The sequence below is a fragment of the Homo sapiens genome, chromosome 7 (assembly GCF_000001405.40).
Source record: "Homo sapiens chromosome 7, GRCh38.p14 Primary Assembly".
In the NCBI taxonomy this organism is placed as follows: domain Eukaryota; kingdom Metazoa; phylum Chordata; class Mammalia; order Primates; family Hominidae; genus Homo; species Homo sapiens.
The window spans coordinates 100,888,719-100,910,749 of record NC_000007.14 but is presented as its reverse complement, the minus strand read 5'-3'; the positions used below and the strand labels follow the sequence as shown (position 1 = coordinate 100,910,749).

General features: G+C 54.8%; 2 protein-coding genes and 1 pseudogene across 12 annotated transcripts, besides 14 other annotated features; all 3 read left to right on the top strand.

The window, feature by feature from the left end:
- RN7SL549P (RNA, 7SL, cytoplasmic 549, pseudogene) lies at positions 4,178-4,459 on the top strand (annotated as a pseudogene).
- Positions 13,509-13,588: a silencer, noted in NCBI's record as "silent region_18471". NCBI's record gives its function as "represses an Ori minimal core promoter by ATAC-STARR-seq in GM12878 lymphoblastoid cells {active_cell/tissue: GM12878}" and the evidence as "EXISTENCE:reporter gene assay evidence [ECO:0000049][PMID:35858748]".
- ACHE (acetylcholinesterase (Yt blood group)) lies at positions 13,756-20,756 on the top strand. 10 transcript variants are annotated; one of them, NM_001367919.2, is made up of 5 exons: positions 13,756-14,197; positions 16,498-17,585; positions 17,932-18,416; positions 19,412-19,581; positions 20,415-20,756. In NM_001367919.2, exons 1-5 carry the CDS (start codon positions 14,020-14,022, stop codon positions 20,534-20,536), a joined length of 2,043 nt encoding a protein of 680 aa, NP_001354848.1. In that variant the 5' UTR covers positions 13,756-14,019; the 3' UTR covers positions 20,537-20,756. The 10 variants fall into 10 exon arrangements, 8 of the variants coding, with proteins under 8 accessions (NP_001354848.1, NP_001354847.1, NP_001289551.1 ...); NM_001367918.1 differs by having other exon boundaries at positions 16,495-17,585; NM_001302622.2 differs by lacking the exon at positions 13,756-14,197 and adding an exon at positions 14,621-14,691.
- Positions 14,425-15,045: an enhancer, noted in NCBI's record as "H3K27ac-H3K4me1 hESC enhancer chr7:100493326-100493946 (GRCh37/hg19 assembly coordinates)". NCBI's record gives its function as "activates a minimal SCP1, AML or CMV promoter by ChIP-STARR-seq in naive H9 embryonic stem cells {active_cell/tissue: H9 hESC(naive)}" and the evidence as "EXISTENCE:reporter gene assay evidence [ECO:0000049][PMID:30033119]".
- Positions 14,425-15,070: a biological region, named in NCBI's record as "H3K27ac-H3K4me1 hESC enhancer GRCh37_chr7:100493326-100493946".
- Positions 14,811-14,960: a silencer, noted in NCBI's record as "silent region_18470". NCBI's record gives its function as "represses an Ori minimal core promoter by ATAC-STARR-seq in GM12878 lymphoblastoid cells {active_cell/tissue: GM12878}" and the evidence as "EXISTENCE:reporter gene assay evidence [ECO:0000049][PMID:35858748]".
- Positions 15,021-15,070: a silencer, noted in NCBI's record as "silent region_18469". NCBI's record gives its function as "represses an Ori minimal core promoter by ATAC-STARR-seq in GM12878 lymphoblastoid cells {active_cell/tissue: GM12878}" and the evidence as "EXISTENCE:reporter gene assay evidence [ECO:0000049][PMID:35858748]".
- Positions 17,317-18,055: an enhancer, noted in NCBI's record as "H3K27ac-H3K4me1 hESC enhancer chr7:100490316-100491054 (GRCh37/hg19 assembly coordinates)". NCBI's record gives its function as "activates a minimal SCP1, AML or CMV promoter by ChIP-STARR-seq in naive H9 embryonic stem cells {active_cell/tissue: H9 hESC(naive)}" and the evidence as "EXISTENCE:reporter gene assay evidence [ECO:0000049][PMID:30033119]".
- Positions 18,056-18,795: an enhancer, noted in NCBI's record as "H3K27ac-H3K4me1 hESC enhancer chr7:100489576-100490315 (GRCh37/hg19 assembly coordinates)". NCBI's record gives its function as "activates a minimal SCP1, AML or CMV promoter by ChIP-STARR-seq in naive H9 embryonic stem cells {active_cell/tissue: H9 hESC(naive)}" and the evidence as "EXISTENCE:reporter gene assay evidence [ECO:0000049][PMID:30033119]".
- Positions 19,076-19,808: an enhancer, noted in NCBI's record as "NANOG-H3K27ac-H3K4me1 hESC enhancer chr7:100488563-100489295 (GRCh37/hg19 assembly coordinates)". NCBI's record gives its function as "activates a minimal SCP1, AML or CMV promoter by ChIP-STARR-seq in naive H9 embryonic stem cells {active_cell/tissue: H9 hESC(naive)}" and the evidence as "EXISTENCE:reporter gene assay evidence [ECO:0000049][PMID:30033119]".
- Positions 19,076-20,542: a biological region, named in NCBI's record as "NANOG-H3K27ac-H3K4me1 hESC enhancers GRCh37_chr7:100487829-100488562 and GRCh37_chr7:100488563-100489295".
- Positions 19,592-19,641: a silencer, noted in NCBI's record as "silent region_18468". NCBI's record gives its function as "represses an Ori minimal core promoter by ATAC-STARR-seq in GM12878 lymphoblastoid cells {active_cell/tissue: GM12878}" and the evidence as "EXISTENCE:reporter gene assay evidence [ECO:0000049][PMID:35858748]".
- Positions 19,713-19,870: a silencer, noted in NCBI's record as "fragment chr7:100488501-100488658 (GRCh37/hg19 assembly coordinates)". NCBI's record gives its function as "represses an EF-1alpha promoter that drives an FKBP-Casp9 reporter gene in an ReSE screen in HepG2 liver carcinoma cells {active_cell/tissue: HepG2}" and the evidence as "EXISTENCE:reporter gene assay evidence [ECO:0000049][PMID:32094911]".
- Positions 19,809-20,542: an enhancer, noted in NCBI's record as "NANOG-H3K27ac-H3K4me1 hESC enhancer chr7:100487829-100488562 (GRCh37/hg19 assembly coordinates)". NCBI's record gives its function as "activates a minimal SCP1, AML or CMV promoter by ChIP-STARR-seq in naive H9 embryonic stem cells {active_cell/tissue: H9 hESC(naive)}" and the evidence as "EXISTENCE:reporter gene assay evidence [ECO:0000049][PMID:30033119]".
- Positions 20,032-20,091: an enhancer, noted in NCBI's record as "active region_26393". NCBI's record gives its function as "activates an Ori minimal core promoter by ATAC-STARR-seq in GM12878 lymphoblastoid cells {active_cell/tissue: GM12878}" and the evidence as "EXISTENCE:reporter gene assay evidence [ECO:0000049][PMID:35858748]".
- Positions 20,962-21,011: a silencer, noted in NCBI's record as "silent region_18467". NCBI's record gives its function as "represses an Ori minimal core promoter by ATAC-STARR-seq in GM12878 lymphoblastoid cells {active_cell/tissue: GM12878}" and the evidence as "EXISTENCE:reporter gene assay evidence [ECO:0000049][PMID:35858748]".
- Positions 21,035-22,029, top strand: UFSP1 (UFM1 specific peptidase 1). Of its 2 annotated transcripts, none has more exons than NM_001015072.4 (1): positions 21,035-22,029. In NM_001015072.4, the coding sequence occupies exon 1, from the start codon at positions 21,479-21,481 to the stop codon at positions 21,905-21,907; it is 429 nt and encodes a 142-aa protein (NP_001015072.2). In that variant the 5' UTR covers positions 21,035-21,478; the 3' UTR covers positions 21,908-22,029. Both variants share the same exon structure in this region, with proteins under 2 accessions (NP_001015072.2, NP_001417873.1).

The following is a 22,031-nucleotide window of genomic DNA, read 5'->3' as shown; positions in this document are numbered from 1 at the left end:
CAGGAGAATCGCTTGAGCTCAAGAGGCGGAGGTTGCAGTGAGCCAAGACTGCGTCATTGCACTTCAGCCTGGGTGACAGAGTGAGACTCCGCCTAAAAAAAAAAAAAAAAAAAAAAAAAGGAAATTGAAAAACAGGAAGCAAAAAACAAAGTCATCCACAATCACCAGCATTTTACAGCTTGACATTCCTTCTAGGGTCCTGGGTGTAGGCAGAACATCCAATCTCATAGGACTGAGATCACACAATACGTATTATGCTTTTTCACGCATCATGAATATTTACCCATTCAAAACCTAAAGCTATGTGAGCATTTTGGTAACCAAGAATACACATCACCAACTCAATCTGTTAAGGAAAAAAAATGTAATCCTGCTTTTCTTGAGACAAAAATTTCATAGAAGACAAAAGTGGCAATAGGCATCTAGATAAAAAGCATTGGCAGAGTTCTGATTAAAAGACTGCATTCCCTTAATGCTCAATTTAAAATAAAAACGTAGACCAGACACAGTGGCTCACTTCTGTAATCCCAGCACTTTGGGAGGCTGAGGCGGGCAGATTGCTTGAGCTCACGAGTTCGAGACCAGCCTGGGCAACATAGCAAGACCCCTTCTCTACAAAAAATGCAAAAATTAGCCCAGCGGGGTGGCACACACCTGTAGTCCCAGCTACTGGGGAGGCTGAGGTGGGAGGCTCACTTGAGCCCAGGAGTTTGAGGCTGCAGTGAGCTATGATTATGCCACTGTACTACAGCCTGGGTGACAGAGCAAGACCCTGTCCCTTAAAAAGAAAAAAATAGATTTGGGGAAAAGTAGATCTTTATAGAGCCGAACACCTTTTTATTTATTTATTTATTTATTTATTTATTTATTTTGAGACAGAGTCTCGCTGTGTTGCCCAGGCTGGAGGGCAGTGGTGCGATCTCGGCTCACTGCAACCTCTACCTCCTAGATTCAAGCAATTCTCCTGCCTCAGTCTCCCAAATAGCTGGGATTACAGGCGCCCGCCACCAGGCCCAGATAATTTTTTGTATTTTTTAGTAGAGACAGGGTTTTGCCATGTTGGCCAGGCTGGTCTTGAACTCCTAACCTCAGGTGATCCACCCACCTCGGCCTCTCAAAGTACTGGGATTACAGGCATGAGCCACCACACCCAGCCTTTTTTTTGAGACAGAGTCTCACTCTGTCACCCAGGCTGGAGTGCAGTGGTGCGATCTTGGCTCACTACAGCCTCCACCTCCCAGGTTCAAGTGATTCTCCTGCCTCAGCCTCTTGAGCAGCTGGGATTACAGGCACCTGCCATCATGCCCGGCTAATTTTTGTATTTTTAGTAGAGACGGGGTTTGGTCATGTTGGCCAGGCTGGTCTCACACTCCTGACCTCAGGTGATCCACACACCTCGGCCTCCCAAATGCTGGATTACAGGCATGAGTCACCACGCCTGGCCTTAAATTCTTACTTAAATTTATTAAACTTATTCTTATTTAAATTCTTTTATTCCTCAATTCCTTTCTATAAATTTTCATTATTTTACTTTGAAATATCTGCCAGGACTTTCAAGAATCATAATTTTGGCAACCCATATGCCAGCCTTATGTGTCTCACAATTAAAGCACAATGTTTTGAGCATTGAAAAGAACCAATATGTTGATTCACACTCACAGTTGCAAAACAAACGTGTTAGGCCATTCTTGCATTGCTATAAATGCCTAAGACTGGGTGATTTATAAAGAAAAAAAGTTTATTTGGCTCACGGTTCTGCAGGCTGTACAGGAAGCACGGTGCCAGCATTTGCTTCTGGTGAGGACCTCAGGAAGCTTCCACTTACAGGGGAAGTTGAAGGGGAGCTGGCATGTCACAGGGCAAGAGAGAGAGCAAGAGAGAGTGCGGGAGGGAGGTGCCACACTCTTAAACAACCAGATCCCACTCACTATTGCAGAAACAGCACCAAGGGGTTGGCACTGAACCATTCATGAGAGATCCACCCCCATGAGCCAAATACCTCCAACCAGGGCTCATCTCCAACACTGGGGATTACATCTCGACGTGCAATCTGGAAAGGACAAACATCCAAACTATATCAACAAATGAAGGCTGGAGAAATCCAAGGACTGAAGGACATCCTGGTTATAATTCCTACATTTAAGTCACATTGAGATGTGACATAGTATTGTACAACAGAATTTTTAAATCTTATTTGCCATGCCTTAGAATCTTTTTCTTTTGAGACGGAGTCTCGCTCTATCGCCCAGGCTGGAGTGCAGTGGCACAATCTCGGCTCACTGCAACCTCTGCCACCCAGGTTCAAGCAATTTTCCTGTGTCAGCCTCCCAAATAGCTGGGATTACCAGTGCCCACCACAATGCCCAGCTAATTTTTATAATTTCAGTAGAGACAGGGTTTCACCATGTTGGCCAGGCTGGTCTCAAAATCCTGGCCTCAAGTGATCTGCCCACCTCAGCCTCCCAAAGTGCTGGGATTACAGATGTGAGCCACCTCACTCAGCCAGAATCCCTTCCAAATTAAAAATCAAACAGAAACCCCACAGAATCACATTTGTTTGGCATTGCTCTAGTAATATGTGCATCTTGGGTGCAAGCGTCTAAATTGCTAAACCTGCATCTGCAGTTTTACATTTTAAGATGCTTCCGGCCAGGCGTGGTGGCTCACGCCTGTAATCCCAGCACTTTGGGAAGCCGAGGCAGGTGGATCACTTCAGGTCAGGAGTTCGAGACTAGCCTGACCAACATAGTGAAACCCCATCTCTACTAAAAAATACAAAATTAGCCAGGTGTGGTGGCGCATGCCTGTAATCCCAGCTACTCAGGAGGCTGAGGCAGGAGAATTGCTTGAACCCGGGAGGCAGAGATTGTAGTGAGCTGAGATTGCACCATGGCACTCCATCCTGGGCAACAGGAGCAAAACTCCGTCTCAAACAAACAAAACAAACAGAAAAAAGATGCTTCCGGCTGGGTGCCGTGGCTCACACCTGTAATCCCAACACGGTGGGAGGCTGAGGCGGGAGGATCACCTGAGGTCAGGAGTTCAAGATCAGCCTGACCAACATGGCAAAACCCGATCTCTACTAAAAATACAAAAATTAGCTGGGTGTGGTGGCGGGTGCCTGTAATCCCAGCTACTTGGGAGGCTGAGGTAGGAGAATTGCTTGAACCGGGAGATGGAGGTTGCAGTGAGCTGAGATCGTGCCACTGCACTCCAGCCTGGGAGACAGTGTGAGACTCCATCTAAAAAAAAAAAGATGCTTCCATCCACTGTTCATCTCAGATTAAATGAAGACCAAGGCTAGGCACAGTGGTTCACGCCTGTAATCCCAGCACTTTGGGAGGCCCAGGTGGGTGGATCACTTGAGGTCAGGAGTTCAAGACCAGCCTGGCAAACATGGCGAACCCCCTCTCTACGAAAAACACAAAAATTAGCCGGGCGTGGTGGTGGGTGCCTGTAGTCCCAGCTACTTGAGAGGCTGAGGTAGGAGAATCACTTGAACCTGGGTGGTGGAGGCTGCAGTGAGCCAAGTGAGCCGAGATCACACCACTGCACTCCAGCCTGGGCGACAGAGCAAGACTCTGTCTCAAAAAAGTAAAAATTTTTAATATAAATAATGTGATACTTATTAACCCAGTGATTGGGACAAATCCAAATTGAGGGACATTCTACAAAGTAACTGGCCAGTGGTCTTCAAACGTGTCAAGGTCATGAAAGACAAAGAATGAGGAAGTGTCCAAAACACAGGGCACTAGTCGGGCATGGTTGCTCACGCCTGTAATCCTAGCACTTTGGGAGGCTAAGGTGGACAGATTACCTGAGGTCAGGAGTTCAAGACCAGCCTGGCCAACATGGTAAAACCCCATCTCTGCTAAATACAAAAATTAGCCAGTTGTGGTGGCAGACGCCTATAATCCCAGCTACTCAGAAGGCTGAGGCAGGAGAATCACTTGAACCCGGGAGGCGGAGGTTACAGTGAGCCAAGATCGCGCCACTGCACTCCAGCCTGGTTGCCAAAGCAAGACTCCATCTCAAAAAAAAAAAAAAAGAAAATAGAAATAATGAAAAGAATACAGATAAGGCCTCCAGGATACAGCAAAAGCAATGCTTAGAGGACAATGTATAGCATTAAAGTAATTAGGTCAATAAATAAGAATGAAAATAAATAAACAGCCAAGTGTGGTGGCGCACCTACAGACCCAGCTACCGAGGTGGGAGGATCACTTGAGCCCAGGAATTCTGAGCTATAGTGCACTATGCCAATCCAGTGTCTGCACTGAGTTTGGCATCAATGTAGGGACCTCCTGGGAGCGGGGCACCACCAGATTGTCTAAGGACGGGTGAACCTGCCCAGGTCAGAAGCAAAGCAGGTCAAAACTCCCTGCAGATCAGTAGTAGGATTGTACCTGTAAATAGCCACTGAACTCCAGTCTGGGCAACATAGCAAGAGCCCCTCTCTAAAAAATAAATAAATAAATAAAATTAATTAGAAATCCAATTCCAGAAGTTGTAAAACAAACAATAAAATAAACCTATAAACCTGAGAGAGCACATAGACGTTAATAAAGATAAGAGCGGAACTTAATAAACCGGAAAACTGGAAAACACATGAAAAGATGCTCAAATTTCCTCATAATAGAAAGTAGGCCAGGTGCGGTGGCTCATGCCTGTAATCCTAGCACTTTGGGAGGCCAAAGTGAGTGGATCACCTGAGGTCAGGAGTTCAAGACCAGACTGGCCAACATGACAAAACCCCGTCTCTACTAAAAATACAAAAATTTGCTGGACATGATGGCACATGCCTGTAATCTCAGCTACTCGGGAGACTGACACAAGAGAATCAGTTGAACCCGGGAGGCAGCGATTGCAGTGGGCAAAGATTACACTGAGCCGAGATAGCACCACTGCACTCCAGCCTGGGTGACAGGGCAAGACTCTGTCTCAAAAGAAATAGGAAAAATTAAGCTAATTAAACCCTTAATGCTTACTGAATTAAATATATTAATTTAAAAATTAATTAATTTTTAATTTTTAAAAAAATAAAGTAACTGGCCTGGTGCAGTGGCTCACGCCTGTAATCCCAGCACTTTGGGAGACCAAGGCAGGCAGATCACGAGGTCAGGAGTTCAAGACCAGCCTAGCCAACATGGTGAAACCCCGTCTCTACTAAAAATACAAAAATGAGCTGCGCATGGTGGCGCGCGTCTGTAATCCCAGCTACTCAGGAGCGCGCTTGAACCTGGGAGGCGGAGGTTGCAGTGAGCCAAGATTGTGCCACTGCACTCCAGCCTGGGTGACAGAGCAAGACTCTGTCTCAAAAATAAATAATAAATAAATAAAGTAAAGCTGTACTGAAATACCATTCACCTCTTAAATGGGACAATTTTTTTTGTTTTGTTTTTGGAGTTTGTTGAGACAGGTTCTCACTCTCTCATGCAGGCTGGAGTACAGTAGCATGATCACAGATCACTGCAGCCTCAAACTCCTGGGCTCAAGCGATCCTCCCACCTCAGCCTCCCAAGCAGCTGTGACTACAGGCACAAGCCAGCACACTCAGCAATTTTTTATTTTTTGGAGAGCTGGGAGTCTCACTATGTTGCTCATGCTGGTCTTGAACTCCTGGGCTCAAGCGATCCTCCCACCTCAGCCTCCCAAAGTGCTGGGATTACAGGCATAAGCCACCACATCCAGCCAATTTTATTTTACTTTTAAATATACTATGTTGGCAAAACTATAGGCAACCAATAACTAGTGACCCAGTAATACATGTTGAGGAATTTATCCCAGGGATATACTTGCAACACTGCAAAATTATTTGTGCACTAAGTTTGTAATAGCAAGTAACTGAAAGCAACTTAAATGCTCATCAGTAGGGGACAAATTAAATTATGTTACTTTCAACTGGGCAAGGTGGCTCATGCCTGTAATCCCAGCACTTTGGGAGGCCAAGGCGTGCAGATCACCTGAGGTCGGGAGCTCGAGACCAGCCTGACCAACATGGAGAAACCCCGTCTCTACTAAAAATAAAAAATTAGCCGAGAGTGGTGGCACATGCCTGTAATCCCAGCTACTCAGGAGGCTGAGGCAGGAGACTCGCTTGAACCTGGGAGGCGCAGGTTGTGGTGAACTGAGATCGCACCATCGCACTCCAGCCTGGGCAACAAGAGCAAAACTCCGTTTCCAAATAAATAAATAAATAAATAAAATTATGTTACTTTCATGCAATATAAAGTATGCAGCTTTTCATTAAACAGGCAAAAAATAAAGAATGAGGGCCAGGTGTGGTGGCTTATGCCTGTAATCCTAGCACTTTGGGAAGCCAAGGCAGGTGGATCACTTGAGGTCAGGAGTTCAAGACCAGCCTGGCCAATATGCAGAAACCCTGCCTCTACTAAAAATGGAAAAATTAGCCAGGTGTGGTGGCAGGCGCCTGTAATCCCAGCTACTTGGGAGGCTGAGGCAGGAGAATCGCTTGAACTCTGGGGGGCGGAGGTTACAGTGATTGGAGATCACGCCACTGCACTCCAGCCTGGGTGACAGAGCTAAACTCCGTCTAAAAAAAAAAAAAAATGAGAAAGTCTATGATGTACAAATCTGGAACTATCCTTAAGATACACTGTTAGCTAGGTTTCTTTCTTTTTTTTTTAAGTCAAGTACAGAAGAGTGTGTAAAGGATGCTACAATTATGTAAAAACATGGATTCAGGGCAGAAAAATACCTGTTGATGATATATGCATGTACCTGTTTGGGCTACAGAAAAAAATGAAGAAAAAAAGTGGGTAATATATGCAATATAGGACCACAGTTAACACTGCTTTAGGAATGAATACTGGGTCGAGGAAGGCAGGGAAGAGGAGAACTTTTCACTTTATACGTTTTCAATTTTATGAATTCACTAACTGTCCAAATAAATAAAATATAACTTTTTTTTTTTTTTTTTTAGGACAGGGTTTCCCTTTATCCCCTAGGCTGGAGTGCAGTGGCACGATCTCAGCTCACTGCAGCCTTGACTTCCTAGGCCCAAGCCATCCTCCCACCTCAGCCTCCTGAGTAGCTGGGACCACAGCCACGCACCGCCGCACCCAGCTAATTTTTGTATTTTTGGTAGAGAAGGGGGTCTCCCTATGTTGCCCAGGCTGATCTCAAACTCCTGGGCTCAAACGATCCACCCACCTCGGCCTCCCGAAGTACAGGGATTAAAGGCATGAGCCACTGTGCCTGGCCCAAAATGTAACTTAAAAAAGGATATTCCCCAGCCAGGAAATAACTTCTCCCCACTCATCTAAGATCTTTCCCCTCTCATTTCCCGCCATCACTGTTGCCTGCAGCACAGACATTTGTTAAGTGCGCCCAGGACGAGGATGGGAGGGTGTCACAACTGAATGAAAGTAGGGAAGCCAGGCGCGGTGGCTCACACCTGTAATCGATTCCAGCTACTCAGGAGGCTGAAGGCAGGAGGATCGCTCAAGCCCAGGAGTTCAAGGCCAGCCTGGGCAACATAGCGAAACCCTGTATCTATCCAAAAAAAAAAAAAATAGCCAAGCTTGGTGGCATGGGTCTGTAGTCCCAGCTACTCAGGAGGCTGAGGTGAGAGGATCCTTTGAGCCCAAGAGGTCAAGGCTACGGTGAGCTACAATCGCACCACTACACTCCAGCCTGGGTGACAGAGTGAGACCCCCATCTCTTTTTTAAAAATTAAAAATTTAAAAATAAAGGAGGAGGAGTCCCGCCCTAGATGCAGAGAGCCCCCAGATGTTCTGAGCTGATCCATTTTCTGCTGTAGCTCCCATGTGTCAATGGCCCAAAGCTTCCCAGCACAGCCCCAGCCCCGACCCTGGCCCTGCTGGGCACCTCTCTAGTGAGGAGGGGAGGAAGCACCTGCCACTGCCCACATGCCACCACTCTAGGACCCCAGGGTTCCCCACCCTCCCCTGTGGCAGAGCCCCAGTCTCTAAGTCAGTTAGGGAGAGGAAGGGTAGGGAGACAGGGCAGGCGCAGAGAGGGGCTAGGAAGTAATTGTCATCTCAATATTTAAACTCGGGCCGGGCGCAGTGGCTCATGCCTGTAATCCCAACACTTTGGGAGGCCGAGGCAGGCAGACCACAAGGTCAGGAGTTCAAGACCAGCCCGGCCAACATGGTAAAACCCCGTCTCTACTAAAAATACAAAAATGAGCTGGGTGTGGTGGCACGCGTCTGTAATCCCAGCTACTCAGGAGGCTGAGGCAGGAGATTCGCTTGAACCCGGGAGGCAGAAGTTGCAATGAGGGGAAATCGCACCACTGAACTCCAGCCTGGGCAATAGAGTGAGACTCTGTCTCAAAAAAAAAAAAAAAAGAGGAGGAAGAACTTGGGGGAGAATGGGAGGCAGAAGATAATCATCTCCCAGGAAGCACAGGGACTTGGGCAGGGACCCCCACCCCGCAACAATGCACACACCCCACACCTCTCTCCTTGGAAGGGAGGGGCCAGGAGGGCCTGAGAGACTCTACTTGATTTTCCAGAAGTTACAGGAGAGAGTCGCTGCAAAACAGCCCAGCCCATCCAGGTCAGAGTTCTCACCCAAAGTCCAAAGCCTGCAATTTACCAGCTGATGAAACGAAACAACCTCTGTATGATTACCTGTATGTTAATGCCTCTGGGCATCAGTTTCAGTTTCCCAGCTGTTAAATTGTACTAAAAATAGCCTGGGTGTGGTGGCTTATGCTCATAATCTCAGCACTTTGGGAGGCCAAGGCAGGTGGATCAGCTGAGGTCAGGAGTTGGAGACCAGCCTGGCCAACAGGGTGAAACCCCGTTACTACTCAAAATGCAAAAATTAGCTGGGCGTGATGGCATGCGCCTGTAATCCCAGCTACTCAGGAGGCTGAGACAGGAGAATCGCTTGAACCCAGGAGGTAGTGAGCCGAGATCACACCATTGTACTCCAGCCTGGGTGACAGAGTGAGACTCTATCTCAAAAAAAAAAAAAAAATTGTAATGAAAATACAGCCTACCCACTGGGGCTGGGCGCAGTGGCTCACGCCCGTAATCCCAACACTTTGCGAGGCCGAGGCGGGCGGATCACCTGAGGTCAGGAGTTCGAGACCAGCCTGGCCAACATGGTGAAACCCCGTCTCTACTTAAAATACAAAAAATTAGCCGGGCGTGGTGGTATGCACCTATAATCCCAGCTACTCGGGAGGCTGAGGCAGGAGAATCACTTGAACCCGGGAGGCAGAGGTTGCAATGAGCCAAGATCATGCCATTGCACTCCAGCCTGGGCAACAAAAGCGAGACTTCGTCTAAAAAAAAAAAAAAAAAAGGCAAAGAAAATACAGCCTACCCCATTTGAATGCTACAAGTGAGAATTAAATGAAATGATATTTAGCAAAGCATTCAGGAAGCGGCTGGCAAACAAGCTCTTCTTCCCCATACATGCTACTGTGAAAGCAACATTGGATCTGGGCTACTCTTCCACTCCACCCTGTTGTCCCCAGTGTTGTGGACATTTAAGGGATCCAGCTGACCACTGGGCCAACCTCACAGCCAGCCTGCACTGTCCCCAAGCCAGGTGGCAGAATCCCAAACCAGTCCTCCTCACTTCTGCACCAATCTTGTGTTAAATACTCAGTGTCCCTGGAAACCCCAGCCAAGGTCATCTATGGAACCTGTGCTTCCGGCACAGCTCTCACTTGGCCACTTGATACCTGCAGGGCAGCCAGGAGTGACCAGGAGCTCTCTGGGTGTCAAACATCTATAGCACCTAGTGTAACCTCACCAGCTATTTCCAAGAAGCCATTCAAGATGCACTGCTAACATTTAAACTGAAAACCGAGTCAGGGTTGGCTGGAACCTGTGAGACCAGGAACTGACAGCCAGTTGGACCAGCATGCCAGGGACCATGTCAGATGGATGTCAGGTCATACCAGGGAAGATGAGTGGCAACATGGCGTTCAATGTACTACTGGTGAATTAAATTGCATATTTCACTCCTTTCAGAAGCACTCAAGTTCATGGGCAAAAAGGAATGCCAAGAAAAGTACTGATCAGTTCTGATGGCCGGGCGCAGTGGCTCACACCTATAATCCCAGCACTTTGGGAGGCAGAGGTGGGAGGATCGCTTGAGCCCAGGAGTTCAAGACCAGCCTGGGCAACATAGCAAGACCCCGTCTCTACAAATTAATAAAATATTTAAAAATTAGCTGGGCATGGTGGTGCCACCTGTGGTCCCAGCTATTCAGAAGGCTGAAGGAGGGTTACTGCTTGAGCCCAGGACTTCAAGGCTGCAATGAGATATGATCACACCATTTCACTCCAACCCCGGGTGACAGAATGAGACCAAAAAAAAAAAAATTCTGAGCACAAGGGTATGCCACCCGCACTCCACTCTACCCCCGGCCAGAAAAGAGGCTAAACTAAGCAAAAGGTTATTTGGCGAATTGCATGGGAAATACTGTATACTCGTTAAATAAATAACAAAATTGTGAAAATAAAGTAAGACTTTGTAGAGACAAGCTATAAAAAATGTGTGAAATGCTCATAACTAGCAAGAGAGAAAAGGGTAAAAAGGATGGATAAGCCGCAAAGAGAAATCATCCTATCCTGTGTAGGATGACGTAACTTGGATCCAGCAGGAAGGCTGGCCCAACATTAAGTAGGGGACATAGGAAGGGGTGGGTAGAGGGAGGAAAGTCCTTTGTGTGGCCTCAGGCTCCCAATTCTGCCAGGTTACAATCTCGATTAATGGGGGGTTGGGCAAAGGCTCATCATTAAAGGAAGAGTTCGGCCGGATATGGTTGCTCAGGCCTGTAATCCCAGCACTTTGGGAGGCTGAGGCAGGTGGATCACTTAAGGCCAGGAGTTTGAGACCAGCCTGGCCAACATGGTGCAATCTCATCTCTACTAAAAATACAAAAAATTAACCAGGCATGGTGGTGCGCACCTGTAATCCCAGCTACTCAGGAGGCTGAGGTGGGAGAATCACTTGAACCTGGGAAGTGGAGGTTGCAGTGAGCCGAGTGCCACTGCACTCCAGCCTGGGGCGACAGAGTGAGACTCTGTCAAATAAATAAATAAATAGGAGATACTGTTCTTCAGCCCCTCCTCCTTCCTGCTGGCTGGAATGTAGATGTGATGGCTGATGTTCCAGCAGCCATTCTATGCCATGCGGTAGAAGTCACATGCTGAAGATGGTGCAGTAACAAGATACTGTGCAAGGAGCAACAGGGTTCCGTGTAAAGAAGCCTGGACCCTGACATTGAGGGCACCATGCCAACCCTGCAAGACTCATTTCTAGGTCTCTTTTTTTTTTTTTTTAAGACAGAGTCTCCCTCTGTCACCCAAGCTGGAGTGCAGTGGCGAGATCTTGGCCCACTGCAATCTCCGCCTCCCAGGTTCAAGCAATTCTTGTGCCTCAGCCTCCCAAGTAGCTAGGAGTACACGCACGCACCACCATACCAAGCTAATTTTTGTATTTTTAGTACAGACAAGGTTTTACCATGTTGCCCAGGCTGGTCTCAAACTCCTGGCCTCAAGTGATCCTCCTGCCTCAGCCTCCCAAGTAGCTAGAACTATAAGTATGCACCACCACACCCAGCTAATTATTTTTATTTTTTGTAGAGACAGGGTCTCACCACATTGGCCATGCTGGCCTCATACTCCTGGCCTCAAGTGATCCTCTCTCCTTGTCCTCCCAAAGTTCTGGGACGACAGTCACTGCACCTGGCCCAAGAAATACATTTCTATTATTTTTTTTTTTTTTTGAGACAGAGTTTCGCTCTTGTTGCCCAGGCTGGAGTACAATGGCATGATTTCCGCTCACTGCACCCTCCACCTCCTGGGTTCAAGCGATTCTCCTGCCTCAGCCTCCTGAGTAGCTGGGATTACAAGCATGGGCCACCATGCCCAGCTAATTTTTTTGTATTTTTAGTAGAGACAGGGTTTCTCCATGTTGGTCAGGCTGGTCTTGAACTCCCAACCTCAGGTGATCTGCCTGCCTCAGCCTCCCAAAATACTGGGATTACAACAGGCATGAGCCACCATGCCCGGCCTCTATTATATCTTGTTAAAGCCATTATTTGGTTTTTGGTCTCATACAGCTGAATTGAATATTAACCAATAAATAGAGGAAATAAGAATCTTTTGTGTTAGAAGATGTGGATCAAGGTCTGTAATAGAAGTGGGGTTCCCTGCCAGGCATGGCAGCTCATGCCTGTAATCCCAACACTTTGGGAGGCTGAGGCAGGAGGATCACCTGAGGTCAGGAGTTCGAGACCAGCCTGGCCAACATGGTGAAACCCCACCTCTGCTAAATATACAAAAATTAGCCAGGTGTGGTGGCAGGCGCCTCTAGTCCCAGCTACTCAGGAGGCTGGGAAAGGAGAATCCTTGAGCCCAGGAGGCAGAGGTTGCAGCGAGCTGAGATGGCATCATCTCTACACTCTAGCCTGGGCGACAGAGCGAGACTCTGTCTAAAAAAAAAAAATGGCGCTTCCTTCCAAGGTGGGAGACAGAGATAAAAGAGGGGTAGGGAAATTCTCTGAATTGGCAGAACTGGTAGTAGAAGCAAGGCTCATTCCTGGATAAACAGAAATGGTGAGAGAAGAAATGGGAAAAATCAAGGACATCCCTGCAGTGACAGCTGTGGAGGGTGGGGAGTTTACTATGCTAGACTATGTAGGGAAACGCCTCCTGGCTTGACAGGTTAGGTGCCTGTGTTGACAACGGTTGCTGAGAGCTCAAGGTGAAAAGAGGGATAGTTCCAGGAAATGATAACCCTGGTGATAAACTATCCCTGCCCTCCCTATCTTCATTGTACAGGCCTAGAAACTCGTGACGACAGAGGTTAGGTGACACCTGCGTGGCACAGTTCGTCTGGAGGGTGACAGGGGCAAGCCTTCATCACTAGCAGGGCCAAAAATCCCTAAAGCCTCAGGACTGGGGCAGGCCTCAGAGCACTCGTTCACAGTTTGTTTCCATCATTTTATTTTTTTGCGGAGAAGGGAGTCTCGCTATGTTGCCCAGGCTAGTCTCCAACTCCTGGACTGAAGCGATCCTCCTGTCTCGGCCTCCCAGAGTGCTGGGATTACAGGCACCGCACTAGGGGCCACACGCGGCCCCATCATTTTAATAATTCATAATTACCACGCTTAGAAACCTGCCTCAGATTCATTCCCCCCGCAGCAACACCCACCATCCACCCTCCTGTCCCCTCCCCCATGCACAGCCCTTACATCTGCTCTTCAGGGATCTCAACTAGGGCACATGGTCTGGCCAGTGAGGAGCCTTCAACTAGTGCGGCCAGAACGCTGAAGGCCGGATACAAGGAGCCTCGGTGTCCAGGCAGGGGATTTGGGGTTGCCTGAGATTGGGGCGGGGAAAGCCGGAGACAGTGGGCACAGATGGCGAGGGGTTCACCTCCCCAACACCCCCAACCCAGCCCAGTCTCCGAGGCCCGAGTGGCTGCTTTTTGCGCCACCTGGCGGCCGTCTCCAGCGAGCGGAGCGCGGGTGACCGTGCCTGCGGGACCCGGTTCCCGTGGGGCGAGCGGGCGTGGGGCCCGCCCAGCTTGGAGAGCCGGGAACCGCGCGGCCCAGGGACTGGCAAGACTCCGGATTCAACCCCTGCGAGGCCCCGCAACCCGGTGCCCGCGGTCCCTGGCGGCGGCGCCCGCGTGCCCGAGGCGCTGCGGGGCGCTGCGGGGCGCGCGGCGGTTAGAGCGAGCGTGTGCGCACGCGCCCACCCCACGCCGCGCCCCGCACCGCCGCGCGCGCGCACGCACGCCCGACGCTGGCCTGCGCCGGCCGCTCTCCCACGCGGGGTCTCGGGGGCTCCTGAGCCGGCCGCCTCCAGGAAGCAGGCGCCGCGCGGTATTGCCGCATGCACCTCGGTCGTGGGGACCCCGCTGCAGCAGCCCTGTCCACACGGGTGAACTCCTGGAGGGCGGGGCGGGGGGCAATCTGCGCGGGTCAGGCCCCTCGGAGCAGGCTGGGGGCGCCCGAGCCAGGCCGCTCCCACCTGCCAGCCGCGTGGCCAATGAATGCTAGGCCTGGTGATGTCATGCCCCGACCGGACCCTGGTGACGAAAGTCCGAAGTCACCCGTCAGGGAACCAGCACAGACCCACCCGCGGGGGTTCCAGAAGTTTCCACTGCCGCCGCGGAGTGCGGCCTCGCCCAGCAGCCTTGCGCGTGCTACCACGCTGTCCTGCCTTCTCAGGTGTCCCAAGTCACCCCTTCCTCCCCCAGGGGTCTCCTGTCTCCATGCCCTCCCACCTCATTTCCACTAGCGATCCCATTTTACATCTCCATTCCCACAGGTGTCCTTTCATCCCCAGGAGTGTCCCACGTCACCTTTTCTGCACCCGTGCCACCTGGACCCCTAAGGGGACGGTACTCTGCCACACTCCCACATGCCTCTCCTCCCATGCCACCCGTCTGTGTCGTGGCCGGGGATGCATGACCCCTTGGCCTTGCGCTAACTTCACCAGCCTCGAGCGAGACCGACAGGGTGTCCAAGTGTGTCCGTCCGTCTGTGAAAGTCGTCCCTGCGTTTGTCTGTGCCTGTCACTGCATGAGGTCGTCCGTCTGCGCGTGTCTGTCTCCACGGGCTTCTGTCCGTCTGTCTGTCACGTGGGTGTCTACTCCGCCGCTGCAGGTCTTTGGGTCGCGTCTGTCACTGCGCTCTGTCGTCGGTCGGCGTCTGGCACTGGAGTGCGTCTGGGCCCCGGGGTCTCCGGGTCTCGGCTCCAAGGGAGGGAGAGAGAGGGGAGGTGGCCACCCGGGAGAGCGGGGAGGGGCGGGGGCGGAGACAGTGGGCGGGGGCGGGCGGGGGCGCTGTGAGGCCCGGAGGGGGTGTGTGCGGGGGGCCGGAGGCGGCGGCTGTCAGAGTCGGCTCAGCCTGCGCCGGGGAACATCGGCCGCCTCCAGCTCCCGGCGCGGCCCGGCCCGGCCCGGCTCGGCCGCCTCAGGTGAGTCTCCCTCCCCGCCCGGGACTCTCCTTAAGGCCCGGGTCCGGGGCACCGTGCGCTCCCCGAGGGGTCCAGGCCCCCCTAACGGGACGGCTCCCGCTTCCCCGGGCCTGCCCCGCGCCGCCCTCCGCTGCCCCGCACTCGTCCGGAACTCTTCCCCGGCCGCCTCACACTCACCGACGCCCACGCAGGAGCCCGAGCCCGCGGGAACGGCCGCCGCCTCTGCGCTCCGATTCCCGCGGGGACCCCCGAGCACCCCTTCCCCGATCGCTCCCTAGTCCGGGGCCACTGGAAGACACCCCCTAATTGGGGCGGTACCCGAGCTGCGCAGGTTCCCGGCGCCGGGCTGGGCACCCCCATCCCCAGGGCCACAAGCCAGCGCCCCTGCGCAGCGCCCCGCAGAGGCCCCCTCCGAGGCCCAGGACGCCCCCTCCCGCGGAGACTCCATCTCTATTTTTTGGGAAGGGGAGGCTCGGCGGAAGCCCCGAGTTATAATTAGCGCCACTCGGGTTTCCTAGTTAATCTCCAGCAGCACCACCACCCCCCGCTCAGGGCGGCGGGGGCTGGGCTAGGAGTGACCGGCGGGAGAGGGGGGAGTTCCCACCCGGGGAATTTTGATCCTTTGGCTGGAGATGCCGGAACCGTAGCAGCTGCTGCCCCCAAAATAGCGCCCCCGCCCCTGCAGCCGGGGATCTCCGGAGTCCCGGGAACGCAGGCGTCCCGGCTCGCCCTTCAGGCGGCTCTGCAAGGCCCTCGAGCCCCCAGGCCCCCTCCCCAAGTTCCCGGCTCCTGGCTCGGGGCGGGGAGCGCCGACCTTTTCTCGGTCTCTACTGCCCTCCGCCGGCGGCGGCGTGCACGGCAGCTTCAGACGGATGGGGGGCTCTCGAGTCCTGGGGGACGCGGGCTGGCGAGCCTGTTTGCTGGGGCTGGGCTGGGAGCGTGCGCAGCTGATGGGAACCCGCGGGCATCAGCGCTCGGTGCCAGACATTGGATGAGAAGGGGCAGGGTTGGGTGGGGAGTGGACTAGGCAGGATTTGGGGGACCCCGGGACCTGAGGCTTCCACACCCTGAATGCCCAGCCCACCGCCCCCCAGGGCCCCGGGTCTGGCCGACCCAGGAGAGCGGGGCTGCGCTTCAGGCCGCCGCAAGCTCCCCCAGCGGCGCTGCCCGTCCGTGAGGCCGCGCCCTGTCGGGTGGCCTGTTCGTGGACTGAGGCTTCTGGTGCCCTCACTGCACGAGCTGGGCCCGGCCCAGTTCCGGGAAGAGGTGAGGGCAGTGGACCCCTGCGGAGCAGAGAGGGTGCTCCTCTCTGTTCCCTGCATTTGTCTGGATATGGGTGTCTGCCTGATCTCTTTCCCCTCCTGCCCGCTGGCCTGTGTCCTTGTCTCTGCCTGTCTCCTTCCCTCCCTCCCTCTCTCCCCTCATCTTTGCCAACCTGCCCCACCTCCTCTGCAGCTGAGCGATAACCCTTGGGCCGACAGTGCCCTAATCTCCTCCCTCCTGGCTTCTCGACCGACCCTTCACCCTTTCCCTTTCTTTCTCCCAGCAGACGCCGCCTGCCCTGCAGCCATGAGGCCCCCGCAGTGTCTGCTGCACACGCCTTCCCTGGCTTCCCCACTCCTTCTCCTCCTCCTCTGGCTCCTGGGTGGAGGAGTGGGGGCTGAGGGCCGGGAGGATGCAGAGCTGCTGGTGACGGTGCGTGGGGGCCGGCTGCGGGGCATTCGCCTGAAGACCCCCGGGGGCCCTGTCTCTGCTTTCCTGGGCATCCCCTTTGCGGAGCCACCCATGGGACCCCGTCGCTTTCTGCCACCGGAGCCCAAGCAGCCTTGGTCAGGGGTGGTAGACGCTACAACCTTCCAGAGTGTCTGCTACCAATATGTGGACACCCTATACCCAGGTTTTGAGGGCACCGAGATGTGGAACCCCAACCGTGAGCTGAGCGAGGACTGCCTGTACCTCAACGTGTGGACACCATACCCCCGGCCTACATCCCCCACCCCTGTCCTCGTCTGGATCTATGGGGGTGGCTTCTACAGTGGGGCCTCCTCCTTGGACGTGTACGATGGCCGCTTCTTGGTACAGGCCGAGAGGACTGTGCTGGTGTCCATGAACTACCGGGTGGGAGCCTTTGGCTTCCTGGCCCTGCCGGGGAGCCGAGAGGCCCCGGGCAATGTGGGTCTCCTGGATCAGAGGCTGGCCCTGCAGTGGGTGCAGGAGAACGTGGCAGCCTTCGGGGGTGACCCGACATCAGTGACGCTGTTTGGGGAGAGCGCGGGAGCCGCCTCGGTGGGCATGCACCTGCTGTCCCCGCCCAGCCGGGGCCTGTTCCACAGGGCCGTGCTGCAGAGCGGTGCCCCCAATGGACCCTGGGCCACGGTGGGCATGGGAGAGGCCCGTCGCAGGGCCACGCAGCTGGCCCACCTTGTGGGCTGTCCTCCAGGCGGCACTGGTGGGAATGACACAGAGCTGGTAGCCTGCCTTCGGACACGACCAGCGCAGGTCCTGGTGAACCACGAATGGCACGTGCTGCCTCAAGAAAGCGTCTTCCGGTTCTCCTTCGTGCCTGTGGTAGATGGAGACTTCCTCAGTGACACCCCAGAGGCCCTCATCAACGCGGGAGACTTCCACGGCCTGCAGGTAACTAGTGGCTAGCTGGCGTGAAGCTGGCTCCTCTGGGTCCCAACGGTCCCTCCCCTCCCTGCAGGGACCCAGGCATGAGGGCTTCTCCAGGCCCATTCCCAGAAGTCCCAGAAGTCCTCCCTGAGGGCTCAGATCCCAGGGTGGTCAGCAGGGCAGACAGGAAAGCCACCATGGGTCTATTTTCTCTTTCTCTGCATCCCTCCCCTGATCTCGTCCTCTCTCTGTCCATGGTTCCGGGTCTGTAACTGTTCATCTCTCTGGCTCTTTGTCTGTCCATCTGTTTCTGTCTACTTGTCTGTCTGTGCCTGTCGCTCCATCCCACCCCCCTCTCCCTCACCCCCAGGTGCTGGTGGGTGTGGTGAAGGATGAGGGCTCGTATTTTCTGGTTTACGGGGCCCCAGGCTTCAGCAAAGACAACGAGTCTCTCATCAGCCGGGCCGAGTTCCTGGCCGGGGTGCGGGTCGGGGTTCCCCAGGTAAGTGACCTGGCAGCCGAGGCTGTGGTCCTGCATTACACAGACTGGCTGCATCCCGAGGACCCGGCACGCCTGAGGGAGGCCCTGAGCGATGTGGTGGGCGACCACAATGTCGTGTGCCCCGTGGCCCAGCTGGCTGGGCGACTGGCTGCCCAGGGTGCCCGGGTCTACGCCTACGTCTTTGAACACCGTGCTTCCACGCTCTCCTGGCCCCTGTGGATGGGGGTGCCCCACGGCTACGAGATCGAGTTCATCTTTGGGATCCCCCTGGACCCCTCTCGAAACTACACGGCAGAGGAGAAAATCTTCGCCCAGCGACTGATGCGATACTGGGCCAACTTTGCCCGCACAGGGTCAGCAGTGCAGAGGGAGAGAAGGCTGGGGAGGACAGGAGTCGGGGGCGGGAGGACACACAAAGGCAGACACACGGAGACAGAAAGGACGGGTGGGACAGGGGCAGGATAGAACAGCCAGAGAGGGATATGCTCACAAAGTAGATAAAAGGGGAGAGAAAAAGAAAGGAGACAGAGAAGGCAGAGGGGGTCTTGCAGAGACAGAGGCAAAGGAAAGTGAGGAGGAGACGAGGTAGACATGGAGGGGGCGGGGCACAGTGGCTCACCCCTGTAATTCCAGCCCTTTGGGAGGCCAAGGTGGGAGGATCCCCTGAGGCCAGGAGTTTGAGACCAGACTGGACAACATAACAAGACCCCGACTCTTAAAAAGAAAAAAAATACAAAACTTAGCCAGGCACGGTGGCTCGTGCCTCTAGTCCCAGCTACTTGGGAAGGTGAGGCAGGAGGATTGCTTGAGCCTGGGAGGTTGAGGCTGCAGTGAGCTATGATGGCACCACTGCACTCCAGCCTGAGTGGCCCTATCTCTGGAAAAAAAAAAAAAAAAAAAAAAGGGAGACCAAGACAAAGGAGTTGGAGCTGGATTAAGTCAAACCAGTGATGATTCACTAGCAGTGACACATTCTCTCACACACACACCAGTTTACCTGGATCGAGAAGAGGACAATGAAATCTAGCATTGGATGGGTGTTGTTAAAAAATGTGATGTTTGTAGACATAGGACCCGTCCTGGTTATTTAGGAAAGTCTCAAGACATCCTAGCCATTTTTTTAGTGAGAGAAACAAAGATGGAACAGAAAAGCTGAGGGAAACGGAAGGAGACGGAGCGCTTGAGGAAGGGAAGACCCCAATGACCGCGCACATTGGAGAAAGTGGTGGGAGGGAGGGGACGGGTTCTCTGGGGCTCTCCGCTGAGCTGAAGAGTCCGGGATCCCGTGGAGTTGGGGGCCACCTCCTCCCACTGCCCGTCTGGACTGAGCCTTCCCTTCCTTCCGCAGGGATCCCAATGAGCCCCGAGACCCCAAGGCCCCACAATGGCCCCCGTACACGGCGGGGGCTCAGCAGTACGTTAGTCTGGACCTGCGGCCGCTGGAGGTGCGGCGGGGGCTGCGCGCCCAGGCCTGCGCCTTCTGGAACCGCTTCCTCCCCAAATTGCTCAGCGCCACCGGTATGCAGGGGCCAGCGGGCAGCGGCTGGGAGGAGGGGAGTGGGAGCCCGCCAGGTGTAACCCCTCTCTTCTCCCCCTAGCCTCGGAGGCTCCCAGCACCTGCCCAGGCTTCACCCATGGGGAGGCTGCTCCGAGGCCCGGCCTCCCCCTGCCCCTCCTCCTCCTCCACCAGCTTCTCCTCCTCTTCCTCTCCCACCTCCGGCGGCTGTGAACACGGCCTCTTCCCCTACGGCCACAGGGGCCCCTCCTCTAATGAGTGGTCGGACCGTGGGGAAGGGCCCCACTCAGGGATCTCAGACCTAGTGCTCCCTTCCTCCTCAAACCGAGAGACTCACACTGGACAGGGCAGGAGGAGGGGGCCGTGCCTCCCACCCTTCTCAGGGACCCCCACGCCTTTGTTGTTTGAATGGAAATGGAAAAGCCAGTATTCTTTTATAAAATTATCTTTTGGAACCTGAGCCTGACATTGGGGGGAAGTGGGAGGCCCCGGACGGGGTAGCACCCCCCATTGGGGCTATAACGGTCAACCATTTCTGTCTCTTCTTTTTCCCCCAACCTCCCCCTCCTGTCCCCTCTGTTCCCGTCTTCCGGTCATTCTTTTCTCCTCCTCTCTCCTTCCTGCTGTCCTTCTCCGGCCCCGCCTCTGCCCTCATCCTCCCTCTCGTCTTTCGCACATTCTCCTGATCCTCTTGCCACCGTCCCACGTGGTCGCCTGCATTTCTCCGTGCGTCCTCCCTGCACTCATACCCCCCCTTCAACCCGCCCAAATGTCCGATCCCCGACCTTCCTCGTGCCGTCCTCCCCTCCCGCCTCGCTGGGCGCCCTGGCCGCAGACACGCTCGACGAGGCGGAGCGCCAGTGGAAGGCCGAGTTCCACCGCTGGAGCTCCTACATGGTGCACTGGAAGAACCAGTTCGACCACTACAGCAAGCAGGATCGCTGCTCAGACCTGTGACCCCGGCGGGACCCCCATGTCCTCCGCTCCGCCCGGCCCCCTAGCTGTATATACTATTTATTTCAGGGCTGGGCTATAACACAGACGAGCCCCAGACTCTGCCCATCCCCACCCCACCCCGACGTCCCCCGGGGCTCCCGGTCCTCTGCATGTCTCAGGCTGAGCTCCCTCCCCCGCGGTGCCTTCGCCCCTCTGGGCTGCCAATAAACTGTTACAGCCACGGGAGTGTGCGCGACTAGGGAGCCAGGGGTAGAGGCAGAACGCCGGAATCACGGGGGCCGAGTCTATGCAGGAGCGGGGCTGGAGGGCAAGAAACAGGCGAGCTCCGAGGCGGGCGCAAGGCAAAGGCCAACCCCTAGCCCTGCCCTGCCGGGCGGAGCTCGCGCCTGCGTAATGAGGCCCGCAGGCAGGCTAGCTGGCACGGCGGAGGGGAGGAGAGGGGAGGGGAGGGGAGGGGAGGGGAGGGGAGGGGCGGGGCGGGGCGGGGCGCGGCGGAGCATTGTGGGAGCTCCTCGGTCGGTGCCGGTCGGTGGCTGCCTATTGCGGCCTGCGGTGATCAACGAGGCCCGGGGAGCGCGTCCCCAGTCTGCGCGCCGGTCCTGCGGCAGCTGGCCCAAGACCCGGAGCCGAAAGGAAGTGTTGGAGCCTGAGGTCGCTCCGCGCCGCTAGGAGGACGCTGTGCCTGGCCTGGGACCTCCGCTCCCGCCCACCGCCCTGGAGCCGCTGAGGGACGTCCACGTGGGCCTGTCCCCGCCGAGCCGCGGCCCTGTCCGCCTGGCGCTGCTCTCGGGCCACTACCTCTACTACCACTACGGCTGCGACGGCCTGGACGACCGCGGCTGGGGCTGCGGCTACCGCACTCTGCAGACGCTGTGCTCGTGGCCAGAGGGCCAGCCCGCGGGCGTACCTGGACTGGCCGCCGTACAGGCGGCCCTGGAGGACATGGGCGACAAGCCCCCCGGCTTCCGGGGCTCCCGGGACTGGATCGGCTGCGTGGAGGCCAGCCTCTGCCTCGCTCACTTCGGAGGGCCCCAGGGACGCCTCTGCCACGTACCCCGGGGAGTGGGGCTGCACGGGGAGCTGGAGAGGCTTTACTCGCACTTCGCAGGGGGTGGGGGCCCAGTCATGGTTGGGGGGGACGCAGATGCCAGGTCCAAGGCCTTGCTGGGAGTCTGCGTAGGGTCAGGCACGGAAGCCTATGTCCTGGTATTGGACCCTCACTACTGGGGCACTCCAAAAAGCCCCAGTGAACTACAGGCTGCTGGGTGGGTGGGCTGGCAAGAGGTGAGTGCAGCCTTTGACCCCAACTCCTTCTACAACCTGTGCTTGACCAGCCTTAGCTCCCAACAGCAGCAGCGCACCTTGGACTGAGGACGAAGTTACAGAACTGAGATTCTCGGGTCCCAGACACGCACCTATGTACCTCCCACTGGTGTCCCTGCAAAGCCTGGCGCTTTTGACATCAATAATAAAAGTGGCAGGGCTGAGCAACACC